The sequence below is a fragment of the Homo sapiens genome, chromosome X, assembly GCF_000001405.40.
Source record: "Homo sapiens chromosome X, GRCh38.p14 Primary Assembly".
Taxonomy (NCBI): Eukaryota; Metazoa; Chordata; class Mammalia; order Primates; family Hominidae; genus Homo; species Homo sapiens.
In genome coordinates, this window is record NC_000023.11 from 37,782,891 (window position 1) to 37,805,541 (window position 22,651).

At 37.5% G+C, this 22,651-nt stretch overlaps 1 protein-coding gene across 2 annotated transcripts in view; it reads left to right on the forward strand.

Moving 5' to 3' along the window:
- The window catches only part of CYBB (cytochrome b-245 beta chain), a 33,403-nt gene that overhangs the window by 2,832 nt on the left and 7,920 nt on the right, over nt 1-22,651 (forward strand). Inside the window, exons 1-9 of one of the 2 annotated variants that reach the window (XM_047441855.1) lie at nt 591-710; nt 7,078-7,201; nt 9,085-9,169; nt 10,775-10,920; nt 13,061-13,251; nt 16,065-16,194; nt 18,366-18,458; nt 20,987-21,240; nt 22,116-22,278. In XM_047441855.1, coding sequence (XP_047297811.1) covers nt 9,139-9,169; nt 10,775-10,920; nt 13,061-13,251; nt 16,065-16,194; nt 18,366-18,458; nt 20,987-21,240; nt 22,116-22,278 — 1,008 coding nt within the window. In that variant the 5' untranslated portion in view covers nt 591-710; nt 7,078-7,201; nt 9,085-9,138. Of the gene's footprint in view, nt 1-590; nt 711-7,077; nt 7,202-9,084; nt 9,170-10,774; nt 10,921-13,060; nt 13,252-16,064; nt 16,195-18,365; nt 18,459-20,986; nt 21,241-22,115; nt 22,279-22,651 lie in introns of those variants that run through there. The other variant, NM_000397.4, reaches the window with a different exon arrangement.

Here is a 22,651-nt window from a genome sequence, read left to right on the forward strand (position 1 = left end):
TCACATTGATGCTTTCTCCCGCCAAAATATGCAACTTCTTTAGACATTACAAATATAATAATTATAATGCCAAAGCATTATACCATACCAATTTAAGATACTGTTAAGATCAATTTAAGTGCTAAGAAAATATTTAAAATCTTTAAAAGTCTTGATACTTAACTCTAGTTAATGATATGCACCTTAAGTGTTAAAGAGAAAGTGAACTGTTGTCTGTAACTTACTTTGAAATGCATCAAAAATTAGATGAGTTGATGGATGGATACAGGAATGGATAGATAGAATGTGATAAAGCAAGCATAAAAGGTATAATCTGGGAGATGAATAAACAGGTATTTATTGTAAATTTCCTTCAACTTGTCTTTATGTTTGAACATTTTAATAATAAAATGTTGAATTAGGGCAAAAGGTCAATTTCAGATGAAAACAAAGGGTCCTAGCTAGCCCTAAAGGAAAACCGTTGGCTCTGAAGGACCTTCCTGTACAGATCACTTGGTGTCTCTGGTGTGTGGCCTCATGCTAAGAACCTTGGGGAAGTGGGGACAGGGCATATTCTGTGCTCAAAAAAGTCACTCTGCTCCCTTTCCCGCCTCTTCTAGTCAGCACTGGCACTGGCCAGGGCCCCTGCAGCCTGCCTGAATTTCAACTGCATGCTGATTCTCTTGCCAGTCTGTCGAAATCTGCTGTCCTTCCTCAGGGGTTCCAGTGCGGTAAGAGAAAATGTTTTACTAAGTTCCTCTAATTTTCAAAGGCCATCAAGCAAAATGCCCTTTTTTAGGTAAAAACAAATGAATGATTTGGGAGGATTCCAGCTTCTGTAGAATACTCATGAGCCAAGCCATTATCTAGTATATTTCTGTGCTATTTGGGGATGGAGCTCCCTAAGACAACTATTTGGAAAACAAATTTTGAAAAAACACACAAAACCACCTATACCTCAACAGTAGCAATGAAGTAGCACACACGTACACGTTTACACACACACACATATATATATGATAGATATGCATATATACAGAGCTTTAGGAAGTTGACATGTGATATCTGGGAGTTAATCTTTCAGTGTCATTCAAAAAAATTTAAGTCAGAGGAAATATCTTCTGTGGATAATATCTCAAGGAGATGGAGTCAATGGACAGAGTCACACTATAATGAATGTAACCAAGAAGTGTTGGCTTCATGGAACTGGGGAGCATAGAGCTTTCTAAATGTCCAGAATTCCTTTGACTCTCACTCCAACAATTTAGTAAGCCACTAAATGTACTGTGCTAGAAGGGGGAAAAAATAAGTAGGAAGAATCTCTGTAACCCATAAAATGGTATACAAATTTCTTACTAGTATTATTGTACAAAGATGACAAACAAGGAACTTAAAATCTACAAGTGTACTCAAATAAATATTATACAAAGCAAAATATGATGGGTTCCACAAAGCTTTACAAATAAAATACTATGGGGAAGCAAGAGAGAAGTTGTGTCAGGTGGGGCAGAGAATGAAGAAGGGCATTTTAGAGAAGGTGACATTAGAGATGAGTATATAAAAATAAGCTTCTAAGAGGTGTAAAGGAGAGAGAAAGGCATTCTATGTGGAGAAGATGGCATGGACAGAAGCACAGGAAATAGTGAGGAAATCGTATTCTTGAAGGCCAAGAATTGGCATAGCCTTGGCTTCTCTTTGTATTATTATTATAAATATTTTTTTGCCACCTGTGACCACACCAAAGAGGGTAGCTGGGAAAAAAGTAGGGATTGGTGTCCTGGTGGGACCAATTCCGTGGTTCATTAATGACTAGTAGCTTCTAGGTTTTTTTTAAAAAATAAAAGGTATAGTAAGCTTTTTGAAAAAAATACTTATTAAGTAGAGATCACTTATGGAGGACAGCAGAAAGCAAACTACTTTTGTGGGAATGTAGGGATTGTACAGGGCAGATGCCTGACATAAGGCTGGAGAAAAGAGGTAGGATTTTACTGGTAAACTAGAACTGCATATGTATAGTTGAGGAGTTCATGCTTAATTTGGCAATTACAGAATATTTGAAGGAGGCAGTGAACTAAACTGTAATAACAAGCATAACTTGCCTTGAACTCTGCCTCATTTTTCCTAGTTACACTAAATTCATGCTGATCCAGAGAATTTTTTTCTTTAAGAACATATAACATTCAATTTACTAATATAGGACTAGAGGCTATAATTTAGCTTTTATTTTATGACTTAACTATTTACAAAATACCATTTCATCTTAAACCAACTGCCAAAATTGGGCTCTCACAAATCTAAAGTACAAGTTGGCAGAAATAACTGTTACACCTTCGCTTCCTCAGAAAAAGAAGAATGTTGATAACCAATTTAAGATGTTCCAGAAAGAGTCGTGATATCTTCCTCTGAAAAATTCTGTGATGAGGTTCCTTTCCTTAAGCCATAAATTCTATGCTACGCAATGTTGTCTTGCAAACTGAGAGCTAACCAAAACCAAAAACTAACAACAGTACTTGGTATTAAACATTGATTACAAGGATTTCCAAAAAATCTTCCAAATTTAAGAAATCACAGAGGTAAAATTACACTCAATTGAAAGTTTTATTAATGAGCCACCTATTGTAAAGTATAACGTTTAATATATCGTAAGTGCCCAGTGAACATTTGCTAAATGAAGCCCATGCACTATAGCTTATTTTTGAGTTGGGTTCTCTATCACCCAGGCTGGAGTGCAGTGGTACGATCATAGCTCACTGCAGCCTGGAACTCCTGGGCTCAAGTGATCATCCCTCCTTGACTTCCATACATGTGGGGATTACAGGCATGAGTCACCTGCCTGGCGAGTTCCTTGTTTCTAAGGAGACACAATTCATTTTTATTCTCCCTACCCCCATTAGAATAGTTTCTATTTAGAGGAAGTAAAGCCTGAGAAACAGGCAATGTTTTCACCAAGATGGCCTGTTAAGAAATCTTGGTTAGTCTACAAGTCCAAATTTCACTGCCGGTGAGCACCATGTCCCATGAGCAGCACATGTTGTAATGCCAGCTTTTATGCCTCCTGTGACCCAGGAGGGAAGATCTGCATGAGAGTCTCTAAAGACAGGGATGAAATGAGACTGCCCTTCAAATCGCAGAGAAGCTTGGCTGTATAACTACATAGATCTTTATATAAAAGAATATGTTTTAAAACTATCAGCAAGCAACATTCTTTTATAGATCAAGCATGTACTTTCTTCTGGGATTCCTAACCTGAAATGTGAACTTTTCTAATAAAACTTCTTCTGTGATTGTGATTAAAATGAGTGAGTGTGCTGTAACTAATGTTGGAAATCATATAGCTGCCACTCATTGAAGCTTAATGGAATTCACCGCATGAAATCTGCACATCAAACCAGTAAAGTGGGAACAAAATTAAATGGAAGTGTTGGCATTCAAACCCAGGTCATTGTGTCCCCAGAGCCCATTCACTTTAAATCATGCTGCCAAAACTTCTTGAAATTGTGCTGTTGCAGTATTATGATCCTAGAAAGCCATTATATATATGAGTGTTTGAGCATGCCAAGTAACCTAGACTAGAAATGACAAGGATGTTATAAATACAAGGACTTAATAGTAGGACACTATATAAGCAAAATAACCACGAACTTGCATTCAGTTTCTAGAGGTCTCAATCATTGAAACTTTGCTTTGTAATCCTTCTGGTTACCTAGAGAAAGAAAGCCCCAGGGTTGCCCACCCCACCACTCCAGGAAAGGTAGGGGTAAAGGCTCTCAGACTGCTTTGTTGAGAAAAATGGAGAATGGGTGAAGCTCAGCACACAAAAATCTCTGAGGAAGCCTTAAAAACCCCCAACTTGCCATGCAGAAACTAATTTCTGTCTGGATGGCAGTCCTAGTCTTAAGATCAGAAAGAAACAGGAAGGTGAGAGGGTGAGGTTTTATCTGTTACCTTATATAGTCTGGGAGTCAGAGGCACTCAGTGTGCCTCTATCTTTAATCACGTGGTCTAGCACTAGTCTCTTGGGCTTTCTGTCTCATAGTTTTTTTTTTTAGTTGAAAAACAGGTCAACTAACACAAATGTAAGAAGGCATATGTTGGTCTAAAAGTATATTAATTGTTTAAGTCTGTCAATTAGTGAGTTGTCAGTCAATAAATATTTGTTGAGTGCCATTTATGTGCTAAGCACTGGGGACATGTGGTAAGTAAAGATTAAGTTATAGATAGGCCATGAGCTTAAGGAGCTTAGAGTGTTAACAGGAGAGACAGAGAATAAATATGGAACTTCCAAATTATAAACAGTGCTATGCAAATAAGGTAGTGTTATTCATATTTATCAGATATTCTACTGCCAGCAGGTGTGGATATTACTGTCAACTTACTTGCCTGAGTTCTGTAGATTCAAAGTTGGATTTTGTAATTTCTCCCAGTTGCGTATAAATATCTAAATCAGATACATTGATGGTGCGTGTGGTGAGATCAAGTGTACAAAAAGTAGAGCTTTTGAGTTTCTGTAAAGTGTTACACCCCATAAAATATGTACTTCTTTTTAGTTCCACTTCCCATTTTCTTGAAATATTTTTTTCTTACTCAGTTTCAATAGAGCATAGAAATCTGCTGAAGTGACTCAATAATCTCCCTTGCATTAGAATGGTAGTTTATTGAAATCGGGCAAGGCTTCCGGTGACAGTAACAGAGAAACTTCCCTTTAGAAGTCAATGGCAGAAAGTAAAGTAAGTTAGTAAGGAAGCTATGGGGCATGATGGCAACGTGGATAATTGGGAAGTGGCTGGCAATAATTTAGAAGTAACTCAAAGCATATAAATGCAATCTGCCTGATGATGGGGAACAAAAAATTATGGGCAGTCACAGACAGTAAAGTCCTTCCTTCCTATGCCACCAACCGGTTGTCTCGCCTCCTTTTTTAAGGAAGTGGTGAGGAGATGGTATTCTTAAAAGCCCAGTATCAGCATGACTTGTGGCTTCTTTTTGGATTTGTTTGCCATTCCTGTCCACACCAAAGAGGGTAGGTGGGAAAAATTAGGGATTTGTGCCCTGATGGTTGGACCCACTCCACTGATCCATTAGTTACTAGTAATCTCACTTTTTCCTTTCAATATAATATATGTGTTTTACATTAACTAGCTTTTTAAAAATTACCTATTAAGATGAAACAGAGTATCATTGAATGGACAATGTATTTCCCAATCACATCTCTCCACTGTTCTGGCTTTCAGTTAATTTTTCTCTAAGGATCTACAGTTAAAGCTATCAGGGGGCATCAACATATATTATTTTACATTTTTTATGATCCATGGTGATTATGATGATAAGGATAGGACTATGAAGACAGTGTATGTTCCACAACAAAACCATATTCGTTTGCTTTAAATTCGGCGTGCAGGAGCCAGTGAATTTTCCCCAAAAAATTTCAAAAGGATTTGTCAACAAATAGAAAAGAACAGTGTGTGGCAAGTATAGACATGGGGGTAAATTCATCTCTATAGGTTTAGTATGATCATCTCCAGTTCCAGGGCATGAAAATGTACTTCATTTATGCAGCCAAATAATGATTAAAAGATTTTTTTAAGTACATGACATACTGTTTTTCACACAGGAAGCTTACCTGCTAGCTGGGGAGTGCAGCCTTACTAACTGAAAACTTAAATAATGATACTAAATAACATCAAATATTGATTAAATACCTGTCAATGAATATATGCAATAGGGATTTGAGGGACTAACTATGATAATTATACAGGTGAGGAAACTGGAGACTGAGTATGTTGTTCGATGTCACACGGCTAGGTGGGAGGACTGGGACCCAACATAGGTATATCTGAAGACAAAACTTGCTCTGAAATGTGTAATTCAGTACTGCTTTCCAACCCTACTAATTCTCATTCTCTGATTCTTTGGACTCCAACCTAGTTTCACCACTCCTGTAAGGACTGTATCAATCATCTATCGTGTAACAAATTACCACAATAACTTAAAACAACCCCTGTTTATTAGTTTACAGTTCTGTAGGTCACAAGTCCAGCACCCAGTTGCTGGGTTCTCTGCTCAGAGTATCATAAGACTGAAATCAAGGTGTTTTCTGGGCTGAATTCCCACCTGGAAACTCTAAGTAAAAACCCTCTTCCAAGCTCATTCTTGTTGGCAGAATTCAGTTCATTACAGATGTAGCACTAGAGGTCCCTGTTTCCTTGCTGGTGATCATCTAGGGTCCACTCAAATCCTAGATGTTCCTGCATTCCCTGCCACATGCCCTCCTCCACCTTCCAACCAGCAGCAGTGCTTCAAATCTCTGACTTCCTCCATCTCTGACTTCTAAACCCAGATTTAAAGAGTTCATGTGATTGGGTTTGTTGGCCCAGATAATCTCCCTATTAAAGTCAACTTGGGACTTTACCTCTGCAAAATCCCTTTTGCCATATAATGTAACAAAATCACAGAGTGATGTCTCATCATTTTCACAGGTCCAAACTCAAGGGGAGGAGATTATATAAGTCATTGGGGGTCATTCTAGAATTCTGTCTACCACAAGGACTCTCAGAAACTATAGAGGAAATTAAGTTGAAATTTAAGAAGCCAAAGAAAGAAAGAAGGAAAGAAAGAAAGAAAGAAAGAGAAAGAAAGAAAGGAAGAAAGAAAGAAAGAAAATAAATAAATAAATAAATAAATAAACTATAAAGGAACATGGCAATTGGGAAACAGGAAAAAGTTATTTCCTCAAAATTTTAAGGAATACAAAGTAGAAAATAATTTTCAGCACTTGTAATGAACACAAAAGACAAGGAGGCTATATAAGAAAACAAAGATGGTCAACTTTTCAACAACAGATCAGTAAAATGTATTTTACAAATAAATTTTTATTTCAAAAACATTAAGTTTGAAAATTTGTATTTTACAAGTTTTTATTTCAAATAGGAAACCATTGTTTTGAGAGTCTGAGTCATTGCTCAGCTCCACTGGTGAACATTTAATTATAACCAATGCATTGGTGCTCCACCATATTCCCTAAGCACTGGCACTTCCAATCCATGCGACAACTGCCCTTTGCAAGCATCATTCACTCTCTGCCTGGGGATTTTCTTTCAGCTTTCTCCTGGGGCAAGCCTGAAATCCCAGGGGATTGATGTCCTGAGAGCATCCCTCAGAGCAGCCCTCAGCCAATCATGGATGGCAGTTGGTGGTTGAACACCCAAGCTTCTTAACCCGTTAGGTAAAAACCAAAGAACGAAACAAACAAAGTAAATGAATAAAAAACCCTTTGGGATAAGTTCTACACAGTCTCCCAGAGTTCCCTGGTGTGATCGAGCCCAATGATATGATATGATCATGGTAGCTGATATAATAATGCACTCTTCATTAATTTCCTTCCCAGTCTCATTTTTACCCTCGTTTTCTATGACCACCTTCCGGATAGAATACTTACACTTAAATTCTTGTCACAGGTTTCTAGGCACTTAGAATAATAGTGACTATATTCCTGCATTTGGTTTGGTAGAAAAGGGCATTAACCTTTTATAGACAAATAGACTTGGATCCCAGCCAATGTGCAATTTTAGCTTTAGTTTTCTTACCTGTAAAATGAGGACATTAAGATTTACCTTGTTGCATTAAATGAGTAATGATTATGGGTAAACTACCTAGTTCACAGAAGGAATTCAATAAAGCATAATTTTTTTATTTTTCCTTTTTCTGGAATCCTCAGTGTCTTCCTTGCTACTATTTCTGTAATTTCAAGAACCTGACCTCATGGTTTAAACTTCCTGCCCTCCCTAGTTATGGCTAACTGAGAGATAGATGGTGGAGTAAGCACAATTTTCTGTGCAATTATATTTTCTACAAAATCAGAGTATTTTATTAAAAATAAGTAAGCCAAATATTAAACACCCCTATATTTAAATTGAATAAAACATTTAGAACCAAATATTTTAAGTACATAAATTTTCTTTGGTACTTCACTCTCTTGTTCTTAAAGTTCCCTGAATCTCTGTGACAGTGCATTTAGACTATGGAACAAAGCAACCAGAGCAAGACATTGGCCAGTTTTCAGGAGAGCCAAGCTCTAATTCAACCATAAATCAGTTTAAATCAGTTTTTTTCTTTCTTTGAGCATTGGCACGAATTGAGATTCAAACTCACATTTTCTAACATATGTAGGTTCGTCAAATACACTAAAATACTGAGTACAATAGTATTTTTAATGCCAAAGGAAATCATGTAAAGTATGAAATATCAGAATGTTTATATAAACTCTAGTATCAGATGGCCTGAGTTTAAATCCCAGCTCTGCAACTTATTAGCTGTGTGACCTAAGGCTAGGTAAACTCTCTATCCCTTTGTTTTCTCATCTGTTATGTAGTAATAATAATGGTACCTCCCTTGTACCATTATTGTAAGAATTAAAGAGTTAATTTGATTATTACATTAAAGATTAAATTAAATTAAATATTACATCAATTACATTAAAGATTAATGTAAGAATTAAATTAGTCAATGCATGTAAAACAGTTGCAGAAGCTCTTGGTAAATGTTAGCTATTGTTATTTTGGCTATTAGCATTTGGTCAATGATCTCCCCTGTGATGTTGTTCACCTACATGGGCAGGTGTACCCTTCTTTCTCCTCTCATAGTGTGTATGTCCTAGAACAGTGTTGTTTGAAAACTATTCACTTGTTCTAGAACTGTTCACTTGTCTGTGTCCCCACTTGACTATGAGGTATGTGATGTTAATTTCTACATCCTTTGTTTAATGAGTAAATTAATCAGAACTAGAAACTATGTAGCTAGATATGTTTTTTGTACAAGTTTATATTTTTATACAGTTAAGCAATGGATTCCAGAGGAGACTTTATGTCACCAGTATGAGAACAGAAAACATACCAGTTAAGCCAGCCATGTCACTTACTGGCTGTTTGACCTGAGGAAGATGACTGCATCTCTCTGAACCTCAGTTTCCTCATTTATCAAATAGATATAATGATACAGTTTGCAGGGTGGTCATGAAAATTAAATGAGATAATATGTATCAAATGTTTGACACATAGCAAGCTTTCCTGTTAACAATTACTATTCCATTCTTTCCCCCTTAATCCAAAGTGCTGCTCAACAAGAGTTCGAAGACAACTGGACAGGAATCTCACCTTTCATAAAATGGTGGCATGGATGATTGCACTTCACTCTGGTAAGTTTATTAAAGAAAACTTGGAACCAGGGAGTTCCCTCTATTCATAGATACCTTTTTATATAGGAGATCAACCAGTTTTATAGTTAGATTAAGTGGTGGTTGGATATGTTGTATTTTTTTAATGAGTTTTGCTCAAAAGTATTTACCACACTTTCTGCCACTTCAATATTAGGATTTATTCCTTTAGGTTTTAAAGCATTTTTATTTCAGGATTTTCCTATAAAAATGAAAATATGCCATCAGAAAAGTCAATCCTAGTGTCCTCACCCTTTGCTATTCTTTCTAGTGTCAAAAATGTTAATTCACTCATGAAAACTTATTTATTCTAAAAAAAGTTCTTGGTTGCATGTGTGAATTTGTGGACTTTTTGCAGCAAACCTACAGGAGCCATAGCCCATAAATTGAGAATCCCTCAAGACGGTCATTATCAGCTAAATACCTTCATTATTATTATTACTATTGTTATTGTTATTGCATGTATCCATACAATGGATATATATGTGTGTATATAGATATTATATGTTATTATTAAAATTATTAGGGTGGTAGTGTCAGTGCAAGAAGGGCTGTATTTGGGACCCTTATCTAATTCCACTAATTCACTCAACAAATCATTCATGTGCCAGAGAATATATAAGCACAGTGATAAAGCAGACTTGTACTCTGCCCTTAAAAAGTCTGTTCCTAGCCTGAGTAAAATAGGCTTAGATTACAGGCATTTAACTGAGTTTCTCTTCTACTAGTAGATCTGGCAGGCTTTTTTAGCAGTGGCAAATAAATAGTTCAAAAGAAATATATGATAAAATCTTGTTAGAAACTGGCATAGTGTACGGATTAAGAGCACATATTTGCGTGCCAGAGGTACTGGATTTGATTCTTAACTCTGCTGCTTCCTAGCTTGATGACCTTGAACAAGGTTTTAAAGCAGTCTATGTCCCAGCTTCCTCACCTGTAAGATGAGCTGATATTAATAGTACCTACATCATTGAGTCAATGTAAGGATTAAGTCATTGTGAAGTACTTATAACAGTACTTGGCATCTAGTAAGCCCTATGTAAGTGTTTATTAATAAAGAATGCAATTTTTAAGACAGAGAGATTCATACCTTATGGCCATAGGTTTGTATCAATTCAATCAAATTTGTCATCTCTCTCTGGAGGTAATTTCAGAGTCAGGTTAATGGGCCAGCAATTAGGCATTCACTACATGAGTGTTTTCTTGTTTGAGCCCAAATATATTATGGAGAGAGATAATGAGAGCATATCTAAACACCTTCAGAAACTAAGGCTATTGTGTAGAATCTTATAACTTGATTGAGTCTTTAGGAGCATATAGCTCAACATCTTCATCTTACAAATTAGGAAACCAAGACCAGAGAGTTAAGTCATTTTCCCACAATTACACAACTAGAGAGGATCTTACCCACTAGAATTGCCTTGTCTCCTTGGTTCTGGAGACCCAGTTCTTGTCTATAAGTGTCCTGGGCCTCCCTTTGTCTCCCTGTGGCTTATCATAGAGTCAGAGGCTGTCCCAGAAACCCAGCTTACAATAAATTTGTTCATACCCTTCATTCTCTTTGTTTCTCTTCTCTGCCCTTTTCAGCGATTCACACCATTGCACATCTATTTAATGTGGAATGGTGTGTGAATGCCCGAGTCAATAATTCTGATCCTTATTCAGTAGCACTCTCTGAACTTGGAGACAGGCAAAATGAAAGTTATCTCAATTTTGCTCGAAAGAGAATAAAGGTAAGCCTCTCATTATCTGACTTAGATATTCTCTAGGCCATTACAATTGAGGACTAGATTTCAGTGAGTGAAGACCTCTCCTTTGCCAAAAAAAAAAAAAGTTGGCTAACCATCAGAGGGACAAGTCTGTAGGTTACAATAATGGGAGTATAGAAAAAAATGTCTCCCACACTCCTCACCTCATGTGTGGAGGTCTCTAGATGTTTTCCAGGTCTTTAAGCTCATCCATGAGAATGTGTGCATGTGAAGCCTGGAGTAACTCAGGCTTACCTGTGACTATGCCCACCAGTCAAAGAAAGCTGGGAACACATGTCTAGTCGAACAAGGTTTGGTTTATTACTTGCTACAGCAAAAGAAATCTCACACCTTGAGGAACTCTGGGCATCTCAAGGGGATGTAAAGTGGATTTAGAATTTAGGATTCTGTTAGATGGTTTGGGGGAGGATTTAAGAATGCAAGGATTTTCTCTGGATCAGTTATGGTCAGGAATTGGGGGTAGTTCTCAGATAAGGTATCTTAATTATTTTTTCTAGGAGGCAGAGGGAACAGAATAGGACTAAGTCTATAATAGGCAAAGAAGCAGTAGTCATTGTCTAGGCTCAGACATGATTTTGGAGTGGTTTTGCTTTTATCTCACTCCATCACAGTCACAGAGTGACCTCCTCAGAAGCTGGTGTTTTGTGAAATTATTTATGTGAAGTAGGGAACATCCTGGCCTAAGTATTAGTGTAAGGCCAGCCACCAGCTGACAGTTGTGTGATGCCTTTTTCTTTTCTTACCAACAACATCTGAGGGATGGCCTGTGTCTACAGATTGTCATTCCTTGAGAAGCACATGTGCACTGGGAGTAACTCAGCATTTCTCTAGGGGTAGCCAGGAGGGTATCCAGAAGTAAGAACTTCTTCTATCCCAGCAGTTGTTGAAGCTTCCTACACTCAAAGACAGAAGCTCCAAGTCTTCATGCACCCAATGACTTGGGAAGATGACTAAATCACATTAATATGCACTGAATTCTAAAAATGTTTTCTTGTGTTTAGAAAACATCCTTAGTTTTGGAAAAAATAATTATTATTCTCAGACTTACATGAGAAAAACTTGCCTGATATACTTAGGGAGGGAATTAAACAGCATCATAAAAAACAGATTTTTTCTACAATATATTGGGTAATTTTTCTTTTACATTATTCATTGTTTGCCCAATGATATATGAGGGTGGCAACATTAACATAACTAGGTAAATCTACACTATCATGCTCTATTCAGTTGTTCCTGGATCACTTTTACTGTATCTATGCTCTCCTACTCTTCTAAATGTTTTCATTTTCAATAACCTGTAACTGTTTCCTCCTCAGAGGACTGCCCTGGGGCTACTAAAGTCCCTTTTCTCACAGGCTCAGAGATCTTGGAAGGTTGGTGGGGGGTGGCTGAATGGTTACCTGTTCCTGTGCAAACCGTTAGCCAATAACTGGTGGATGCAGACTATGAAACCTGGCTTCCTTGCCTTGAGACAGGATAAACTCTAAGTTGTAACTTACCCTCCAGAGTTGCCTTGCAGGATCAGGCTGAAGCTATCCCCTGTGAGACTGCCTGATTTCACCCCCTTGCTTGACTTGTTTGTCTTTTCTATCCTATTCCCTACTCTCTTACCAGTTTCTCTTGGAGCACATGTTTTCTAAGTCACTTGCCCATGAAGTCTCATCTCAGGATCTGCTTCTGGGGAGCACAGCTGATGATGTTCAGCATTCCCAGAATATATTTGCAAACTAAGCACTGTGGCCCTTTCAAAATCAAAGGGAGAAAGAGCCTTCAGACACTTTTAGGACATCCTGTAGTTGATTGATTTCCTTTATTTTCTACCCCCTTAGAAATAACTATTTAAGTACATCAGTTCACATTTCCTATGACATCTTAACCATGTAAGACATTTTAAAATTTAGAAACATCTATTTCAAATCTATATCTGTCTGTGAGGGATGATTAGGATTATTCAAAGAGGGGGTGAAAATATCTATTGTTCTATACATTGGACACTTTATAATAGTCCTGCATTTGAGAACCTATAATATTGTGCTTGCGCACATGTGTGTGTGTGTGTGTGTGTGTGTGTGTGTGTGTGTGTGTGTGTGTTTATATTTTACAGAACCCTGAAGGAGGCCTGTACCTGGCTGTGACCCTGTTGGCAGGCATCACTGGAGTTGTCATCACGCTGTGCCTCATATTAATTATCACTTCCTCCACCAAAACCATCCGGAGGTCTTACTTTGAAGTCTTTTGGTACACACATCATCTCTTTGTGATCTTCTTCATTGGCCTTGCCATCCATGGAGCTGAGTGAGTGTTTAAATTCTGAAGTGAAGGATTTCATGTCCCTCAATTTCTAGGCAGGATGCTCCATTAGAGGCACAGTGACCTCCTTGCCTGTGTGTGGTTAGCCTGTCTGCTAAGGGAATGTGAGAGGATAGCAGAGGTCAGTTTGATAGAAACCAGTCAACATTGGCATTTTTGTTTCATGCACCCATGTAATTGCTATTCATGGTGAAGTTATATATAGCAAGCTTGAAAAATACACCAAAGTCTGAGTATCTTTGCAAATGTATAAAACATATTGAGAGCACTGGTAGGATCTGGAACATCTGCAATGATATCCTCTATGGTTTAATCACTAGTAAATTAAACAAACCTCCAGACTAGAAGAGTTAATGATTAATCAGTTGAAGAGGTTTGTTATAGTTCAATAAGTTTTGATTTAAGCCCACAGTCATTTATTTGTTGTCTACCATGTATGAGGACCTATCTCAGGCACTGCAGGAAATACAAGCAGGAAAAATATGTGGTTGTTGCCTTCAAACATTCTAATATAATGAAAGTAGCAGCTAACTTCTATTAAGGGTCTGTGCTAAGGGTTTGACATGATATATTTCTTTTAACCCCCAAAATGTATAGATTTCTCACTATCACCATTTCTTGGGGATAGTAATTGCAGACAAGAAACCTGGAGCTAAAATGTTAAAATATGCAGCCTAAGCCACCTCTCTGGTAAGTGGCCCAGCTGAGATTGGAGCCAGGCAGTCTAAAGCAGGCTGTGATAAATGTTCTCTTAGAGACACACAGTTCCTGGCTATGTGGTTAGGAGAGTTTGCCTGATTGGAGATCCTCTTTCATACCAAGTTTCCTTTTTTGTGCAGTTTCATACCACCTGCACACAAAGGCAGGCCTGGGGAAGTTCCCTGGTGGGTATAGGGCTCCAGGAAATTAGGGTTGGAGGAAGTAGAAGCTCAAGACTCACTCTGCCCAGAGCCCAGTTGGTGGCCAAGACATGACTGTGAAAAAGGGGAAGGGTGGGGAAAGCTGCATTGGGCACTGCATTCTTAAACTACTTGCTGACTGTGACCCCTGATAAACTCTTTGTAAGCATGGAGAAATCAATGGAGACCAAGAATCTGATGACTCTCTTAAAGCACTCAAATATCTTTAAATGGGACTTAGTCATAATCCCGTGTTTCAGGTAATCCTAGAGAAGAGAAATAATTTCTTCCCCTCTCCAATTTAGTAATTCCACCACTTTCTGTTTGTATGGTTTCGCAGATACTCATCTTCCTTTGAAGCAGACAGAGGAGATATGTTTATCTCCTTCTCCACTTGAAGAGAATCTGCTCTTTACACTGGTTAGGTGATTTCTCACAGTCTCATGGCTCCGTAGCAGCTGAATTGGGTTTAAAATGCAGGTTTCTGGACTCCTGGTCCTGGCATTGAGAAGAGAAGGAGAAAATCAGATTATTTTCCTATCATTTACTTACCATGGGAACTTAGGCATTTTGAACTTTAATAGTTATTTTTTGGACTCTTACTTTGTGTCTGGCATTTTTTATACATCATGCAAATTGCTTATTATAATGAACCTTTAATGAGGTACTATTACATCTGTTTTACAGCTGAAGGAACTGAGGCTCAGAAGAAGTTAAATAATTTGCCTGAGTCCACCAAACTAGTAAGGGGTAGAAATGAGATTTGAACCCAAGTCTGTCTGACACAAAACACAATTGTTTTCACCAAAACATTCTGCTTTGAGTTACTAAATCATTCTGATTTACATTCTCATGTAAAATGGGGGTAATAATACTTGCCTCTCAGGCTTGTCATGAGGATTAACTGAGATAATTTGTGTAAAATGACTTTCCCCAAGCCTGGCACATGATAAGTGCTCAATACATGATAATTCTCTTCCCCAAGACCTAAGGATAGAAAGGAGTGGTTAATGAACTTGAATTAAAACATTCTCAGAATACACCAAATGACACAATAAATTTTAGGTCTCCAAAACAAACCTTTACAATGGGTTTTCTGTGTCTTTTCTTCTTATATATTCTGAAGATGCTGTCATTTATGTTCCTTGAAGTCTACTCAACGTTGGGCCTTCCTCTCTCTATCACCAATAATTGTCTTATGATTTGGTAGTTGCTCAACTAGCATTTATTGAATTGAAATGAATGGGCTCTGAGCAATTCAAGGTACACACTATTAGTGTTGATGTCTGTGAGAATGTTATAATCCCTATATAGTTAAGTATCTCAAACTGGTTTCAAAATTTGGTTTGATTTAGATAATTTCCAAACCCACAAATAAGGCACTTCTTGTAAGCTTCAGGGCTACTGTATATGACTGTCTCAGTTGTCTACTATAGTGGGTGCCTGGCCAAGGACAATAAAGTTAGCCCACACTTTGATGATTGAGCCCTTTGCTTATATCTTCATAGGAAGGGTACCATTTTCTAATTTGCACAAAGGCACTGTAGGGGCCAGCAGTCACTCTGTTAGATTTGCAATTTTTCTGCTTTTGTTTGTTTGTAAATGAAAATGATACTTGAGACAGAAGTAGAAATTCTCCCTTAAGAGAATTTGATCCAACACTTACCCTCTATAATGTTACATGTAAATATCCCTTTGGTAATTGCACATATATTTTTTCTGTTGCTGAGTGTTATGCATTTTCTTTCCTTTCATCTATTCAGAGGGAGCAATAAGCTATCGCTTTTAAGTGAAAAGTACAGGGCCTACATCAGAGCACTTAAAATATATGCAGAATCTTTTAATAAAACAATTTAATTTCCTATTACTAAATGATCTGGACTTACATTTTTCACCCAGACGAATTGTACGTGGGCAGACCGCAGAGAGTTTGGCTGTGCATAATATAACAGTTTGTGAACAAAAAATCTCAGAATGGGGAAAAATAAAGGAATGCCCAATCCCTCAGTTTGCTGGAAACCCTCCTATGGTATGTACAATTCATTGTTGTTATTACAGTTTCATTACTGACAATCTTTAACCTGTGTCTAAGAAACATGTACAGATGTTATACATCTATATAGATGTCCATTACAAATGTCATGGAACAGCTAAAACATGTGTCTACTTTTCTCTGCTATACTTATTGGATAGAATTGTTTCTTGAAAACTAAGCTTTGCATTGTTCTGTTATTAACATCCTGATATAAAACTTGGGAAAATAGTGTTTTTAGAAGTGCTGTTTTGGTTCAAGAAGTTCCATCTCTTTTCTTCATGACGACGCCAGCTAATGATTTTTAGGGGGACACTTGGGATTCCATCTTGAGCTGAGTTGGATAGCTCAAATAAATCACTTATAAGGAGCAAAGGGCCTCTTCAGATACCAGCACATAATACTTTCTATACAGCTTTCCAATTTGAAAAGGAAATTGATGAGGTGGTACATAAGGCTACCTTTAGGCATTAGGAGTTTTCTGTTTATGAGGCATAAAGGAGGCTGGACGGCGAGGTTCATACCAACATCCCAATGGCATCATGTGGTGGGCAGAAGTGTGGCAAGGGTGACCAAGGAAATACATGGTGAAATACTTTCTTCCTTCTATTGGGAGCTCTGAAGGGTTCCATTTTGTGTATTCTCATAACACTGCTCCATAGAGTAAGATGTGGGCCTTGTAATCTTCATATCATTTTCCCCATTGGCAGATGGTATACTTTGTTGGTTATTGTGCTAGCCATTGGTATAAAACTAGGCAAAAATCAACATTTGTGCAGGGCTTCTGAAGAGGATTATTTTTTTTTCCTTAGGCACAGTATAACATAAAGGCAAATTTTCCATTCCATTTTCTCCTTTCTTTTTTCCTACTCTCTTAGCATAGGAGCACTCTTACTCTAGACACAGCATACTATATGAAGACGTAGGATCTTTAAGCATCTTTTCCCATTAATGGAAGCAACCAGACATATCAGTGAATTGGCTCCACTACATGCAGACATCAATAGAAAGGATAAAAAGGGAACTGTATTGCCAATCCTCTTGTGGGCAGGGGAAGGCACATTTCCTCGATGACAGCTGGAGTCAGAGTACTAGTACCTTAGCAGAAACCTACCTCAAAGAATTTCTAGGTATACTAGCAGCAATATCCAAATCTGGCTCCATTCAGTGGGGCTCCATGGTAGCACTCAGGAAACAGATAGATGATTTGAGACTGTTTTATATATCTATCCCATTAAAACAAAGGCCAACAACAGAACATTGTTTATATTTGGGGCAAATATTCTTCAAGTTTGGCTGAAGATGGAGAGATTCAGGTGCTCTCAATTTCCAACAGTAAGTTTCCTATAAAAGTAATCTAGTAGAAAGATTATATGTGAGACTATCGGAAGCACTCTCTTATCTTTTCCCCCTTAGAATACATTCCGGAAAGTCATTTTTTAGATAATATTGCTGTCTAAAATTCTTTGCTAGTTTAGGTATTAAACTAGAAGTCCAATTGGCTGAGTTTCAGGATGGATCTGTTTGACCTCAATGTTTTTATATGGCCAATAATGCTACAGAGTAATTCCAGTGTTCAGAAACACTGCATGTTCTGACCCAAGAAATAGCTAAAGAAGTCTGAAAAGCTCTAGGTTTGTCTCCATTCAGCAAGTGCATTGCATACTCCCAGAATTTCTCAGAATATTGGAGAAACAGCCAAACTCTTGCATAAAATTTGTCATCTTGCAAATTTGTCACTGTGACTACATAACTAAGAGAAAGCAATCACAGTGTTGCATTAAAAATATTGTGTTGCTGAAATGTTATCCTTTAAAGAAATGTTAATTCTGAAACCAACCTTGCTTTGTTATAGGGTTACTGCAACTGTAGTTGCAACACTGAGAGGAAATCCCATTCTTGTGAGGAGTTCCTCTTGGGAAAGTTTTATCTTGTCAGTACAGTTCCCCATTGTGACTAAGGAGAATGTTTACTTTTACTGGCTCAAAATTATCTTAGTTTCAGATATTTTCATATATTCCATTGTAGAAGAAATTTATTTATCTAATGTCAAATATTTAAGCAAGCCTACAAAGATTAACTTGGCTTCTAAAATTTTTCTCCCTCTGAATATTTTGTTATCTATTACCACTTAATGTATCTCATTTTCATTTTTGCTCTGATTACAGACTTGGAAATGGATAGTGGGTCCCATGTTTCTGTATCTCTGTGAGAGGTTGGTGCGGTTTTGGCGATCTCAACAGAAGGTGGTCATCACCAAGGTACTGATTGGTTTAGTAATTACTAGTGGTCAGTGTCTAACTATATCATGGACAAGTCTTCCCAACTCCTCTATATCATTGATCAGATGTTACAACAGAGAGAAGACCTACAATTTATTTCAATTTACTTAGCTCAATAATCAAATGTTTGAGCCTTTAACTGGGGAAACTACAAGTTACCATTTTTGATGTTAAAATGAAGCCAAGTTCTTTCTGGACATCAATCTCCCCCACCCATTGTGTGTGTGTGTGTGTGTGTGTGTGTGTGTGTGTGTGTGTGTTTGTGTCTGTGTGTCTGTGTGTTTGTGGAGGGGAAGGCGACAGAGGCATTATTTGGTTAGTTAAGAGCAGAAAAGAAAAAGAGGTGAGTTCAAAGGGGCATAAATTGAGTCTTAAAATTTTCAGATGCCAAAAGAACCAGAGATCTAAGGGTAGGTCTCACTGAGGCTGAGCTAGTTTTTCAGGTTGTCTTTACCACCTTTTCTGTGCTGTGTATGTAATAATCTAATAGGAAAGTTGAAGTGCCCAAAATTTCAACAAGTTAGTAAATAAGCTGCCTCTCAAATTTGCTCTCCTAATTCCAAGTCTAGAGTGGCTTTTCCTGAACTCTAATCTGTTTCTCATCACAAAATAAATAAATATCCAACTAAATAAATGTAAATGGAACTCCTTGTTATAATTTCAGGAAACACTAGGAAAGTCTATCTTTATCAAATAAAATTTAATTCAATTCAACTCAGTTCAAAAAGTATTTGCCAAAACCCTACTGTGGGTTATTTTTGCAAAACACACAAATTCTTCCTGTCCTCCACCCTATCTTTCCTCATTTGCTGTCTATGGTGGGTCATAGTAAAGTTAGTTCAGCTGGCTTTGGAAGTCTTGAAATATAGGAAACCACAACAGTTCTCCTTTTGTGATATTTATATTGCATTATAAGAACAATCCCACAGATCAGCAAAAACAGTTGCTGCAAAATTTCCCTTACTAGACTAGAGATGACTGAGTCAGACAAGTATTTTTCTTAAACATACCTTTAAGGAAAACTTGTTTTCCTTTGAAGAAAATAGATATTTGTTTTCTTCTCATATAAATAAATATGAGAAACAAGATGTTATCCAAAAGTATTCCAATGAGAATGCTGTCCACTTATTTAGTTACATCTCATTTGTGCCTATGATAGCAAAATTGTAATATGGTAAAAATTTTTTCCACAACACAAAATTGCAACATGGTAAACAATTTTCAACATAATTTTAATTTTCTGTTTTCAAAATGAAGCTTTACAACTCCTTATTTCAGAACAGAAGGGAAGTTTGTTATAGTTTTTATCATGTAAGATGCATTTAAATCACAAGTTCTGGAAACGTTTGACATTTTTTTAAAAAAGAATTTTTCACTCTTCCACAACTCCCTGTTCGAGAAAAGCCCAGCAATATCAGTTAACATTAGGAAGCTGCTATTTTATTTCTATTGATTTTTCTTTCCTTTGATGTCCCTTGGTTTGTCTTTAATTATACATATAAGGTTCTTCTAGAAGTCTTAGGAATCATCAAAGAAACAGTATATTACTTTCTGTATTGCTCTTCACTGTGTTCTATTTTTTAAAAAAATTATCCAGTCAATAGTTGATGGACATTTGGATTGTTTCCTGTTTTTTGCTATTATGAATAAAGCTGTTATAAACGTGTGTACGTAGACAGATGAGGATGGCAATGGGTGGGTAGAAAAGATGGTGTACTCCCCAGGTAGGGAGAAATGTAGAAATAACGCATGGAATCAGGCAGATTCAAGGTGTGATTCAGGACAAAGATAGACCAACTTAGTTAGTCTTGTTTTGGGGAATGTTGCTACATAACTAGTCAATGGGATCTCCTTCTTCTGGCCAGCTATTAGGTTGGTGCAAAAGTTATTGCGGTTTTTGCCATTAAAATATGGCAAAACTGCAATAATTTTTGCACCAACCTAATACTAAGGCCCTCTCTCATCCTCTTGGGGGATAGGAAGGCTGAGCAGGAAACATCAGTTTTTGTAAATTTTTTAGCACTTTTTTGACTTCTGAGAGGAAAAAAAAATCACAATAGGCTGATTTCTTATGTTGGATTCCCTGGTAAAGACTGAGAAATAACTGCATGCAGAAGGTTTCTAAGGAATTCTATAAGAGATAAACCTGGAAAGGAAGTAAGAAAGGCAGGAATGGGGAGAGAGAAAAGCTGATCCTCTTTCTAGTTGTAACTGTGGCCTCAGCTGATACTACAGGGAGTGTGGAAATTGAGATGGCCTCTTGGAGTTAACCTAAGTTAAGGAAAAGGGACTAGGCCTTAGTATCCCTTAATCAGCCCATCATTAGTAATGGGCTACAACTGAGGGCAATTCCCTGTGACAGACACATCTGCTGGAGGAACTCCTGTGTTGTCCCTAAAGCAGAGATCTAAGTGGGCCAATTTAGCTCAGTTTTTTATCCATATGGACACTAAAAAGGCAAGTATTTAGGAAAAATGTCATTTCCAGACATATGTTTTATTCTATAGGTGGTCACTCACCCTTTCAAAACCATCGAGCTACAGATGAAGAAGAAGGGGTTCAAAATGGAAGTGGGACAATACATTTTTGTCAAGTGCCCAAAGGTGTCCAAGCTGGAGTGGCACCCTTTTACACTGACATCCGCCCCTGAGGAAGACTTCTTTAGTATCCATATCCGCATCGTTGGGGACTGGACAGAGGGGCTGTTCAATGCTTGTGGCTGTGATAAGCAGGAGTTTCAAGATGCGTGGAAACTACCTAAGTGAGTAAAAAGTACATATTACCAACGTATATGAGTTCAGGAAAAATGGCACTAAATAGCTCCTCTTCCTCCATGTTTTACTAAGTCTCCAACAAAACACACAGGTTCTAAGAATATAGGTAGCTATTTCTGTGGTCACCGTTTCATATGTGTAGTGTGTTTATGCATATTTTCATAAATCTTATGTGAAATATGAAAACCTTGAATCAAATATTAGAAATAAATACTCCCAAATTCCTTTAAATATGTAAGGGTCAAGGCCAAGTTATATTAACTTTCCTAACAAATATAATTGTAGTGTATCAAAAATATTCTTAAATTTTCATTGGCATAATTTATTTGAGGTTAAATGCCATATATTAGCCCCTTTGCCTCCTTTTCCCTGCATGCCTAACATGCTATAAGGCACTTAGTAGGTGCTAAAGAAAGGTTTGAGAGTTTGTTGAATAACTCAATGAATAGATAAATGAAAAGTGGAGACATTAAATCTACAAGATGTAATGATGCAGCAAATCCTCACTTCAGGGTGCACCGTATGCAAGAATTTCAAGAGTGGGATGTCCTGGCAAGACATAGGGTGTGTGTGGAGGGGGCGTTGTTGTGTGTGAAGAGGGGTGGGGAGATTAAAAAAAAAAAAAACTTGTTCTGAGTTACCGAATGTTTTTGGTTAGCCAAATATTTCTCTTTTTACTTCCAAACCCAACGTTGGCACTAAGTTTGGTTACTTGAAAGCTATTTCATAGAAGGAAGCACCCAATAGATACATTATTCCAATTTGAATTAACATGTTGCACATCCCCAATAATTATGGGTGCCCCATCTCACTCTGAAGAGCAAGACATCTCTGTAACTATCTCCTCCCCATTTCCCTTCAGGATAGCGGTTGATGGGCCCTTTGGCACTGCCAGTGAAGATGTGTTCAGCTATGAGGTGGTGATGTTAGTGGGAGCAGGGATTGGGGTCACACCCTTCGCATCCATTCTCAAGTCAGTCTGGTACAAATATTGCAATAACGCCACCAATCTGAAGCTCAAAAAGGTAAGTCCTTTCATTTATCGGAGGGCCTTAGAGCAGTAACCATACTCTGCCATGTGAGGCCTGAGAGTGCTTTCAGGGCTAAGGTTGGCAGAGACCATGGGAAGTGAAGAAAAGCTTCCGGTGGTTCCAGAGAGACAGGCTTTTCTTCAAAAGAATATTTGTTAAATCTAATGTGCTTCTAGATAAGTAGGCCTATTAGTGAAGGGAATATATTGTATTTGTATAGTGTTGCTGGAAATTCAGAAGAAAGAAAGTTGGGAAAGTATTCACAGCCCCAACTTAATAGCTGTAATTTTTGTATATTCTCTTCTAATATTTTCCATGTTTACATATTTTTAGAAGGTTGTAAATATTAAGTATGTATAATTTCATG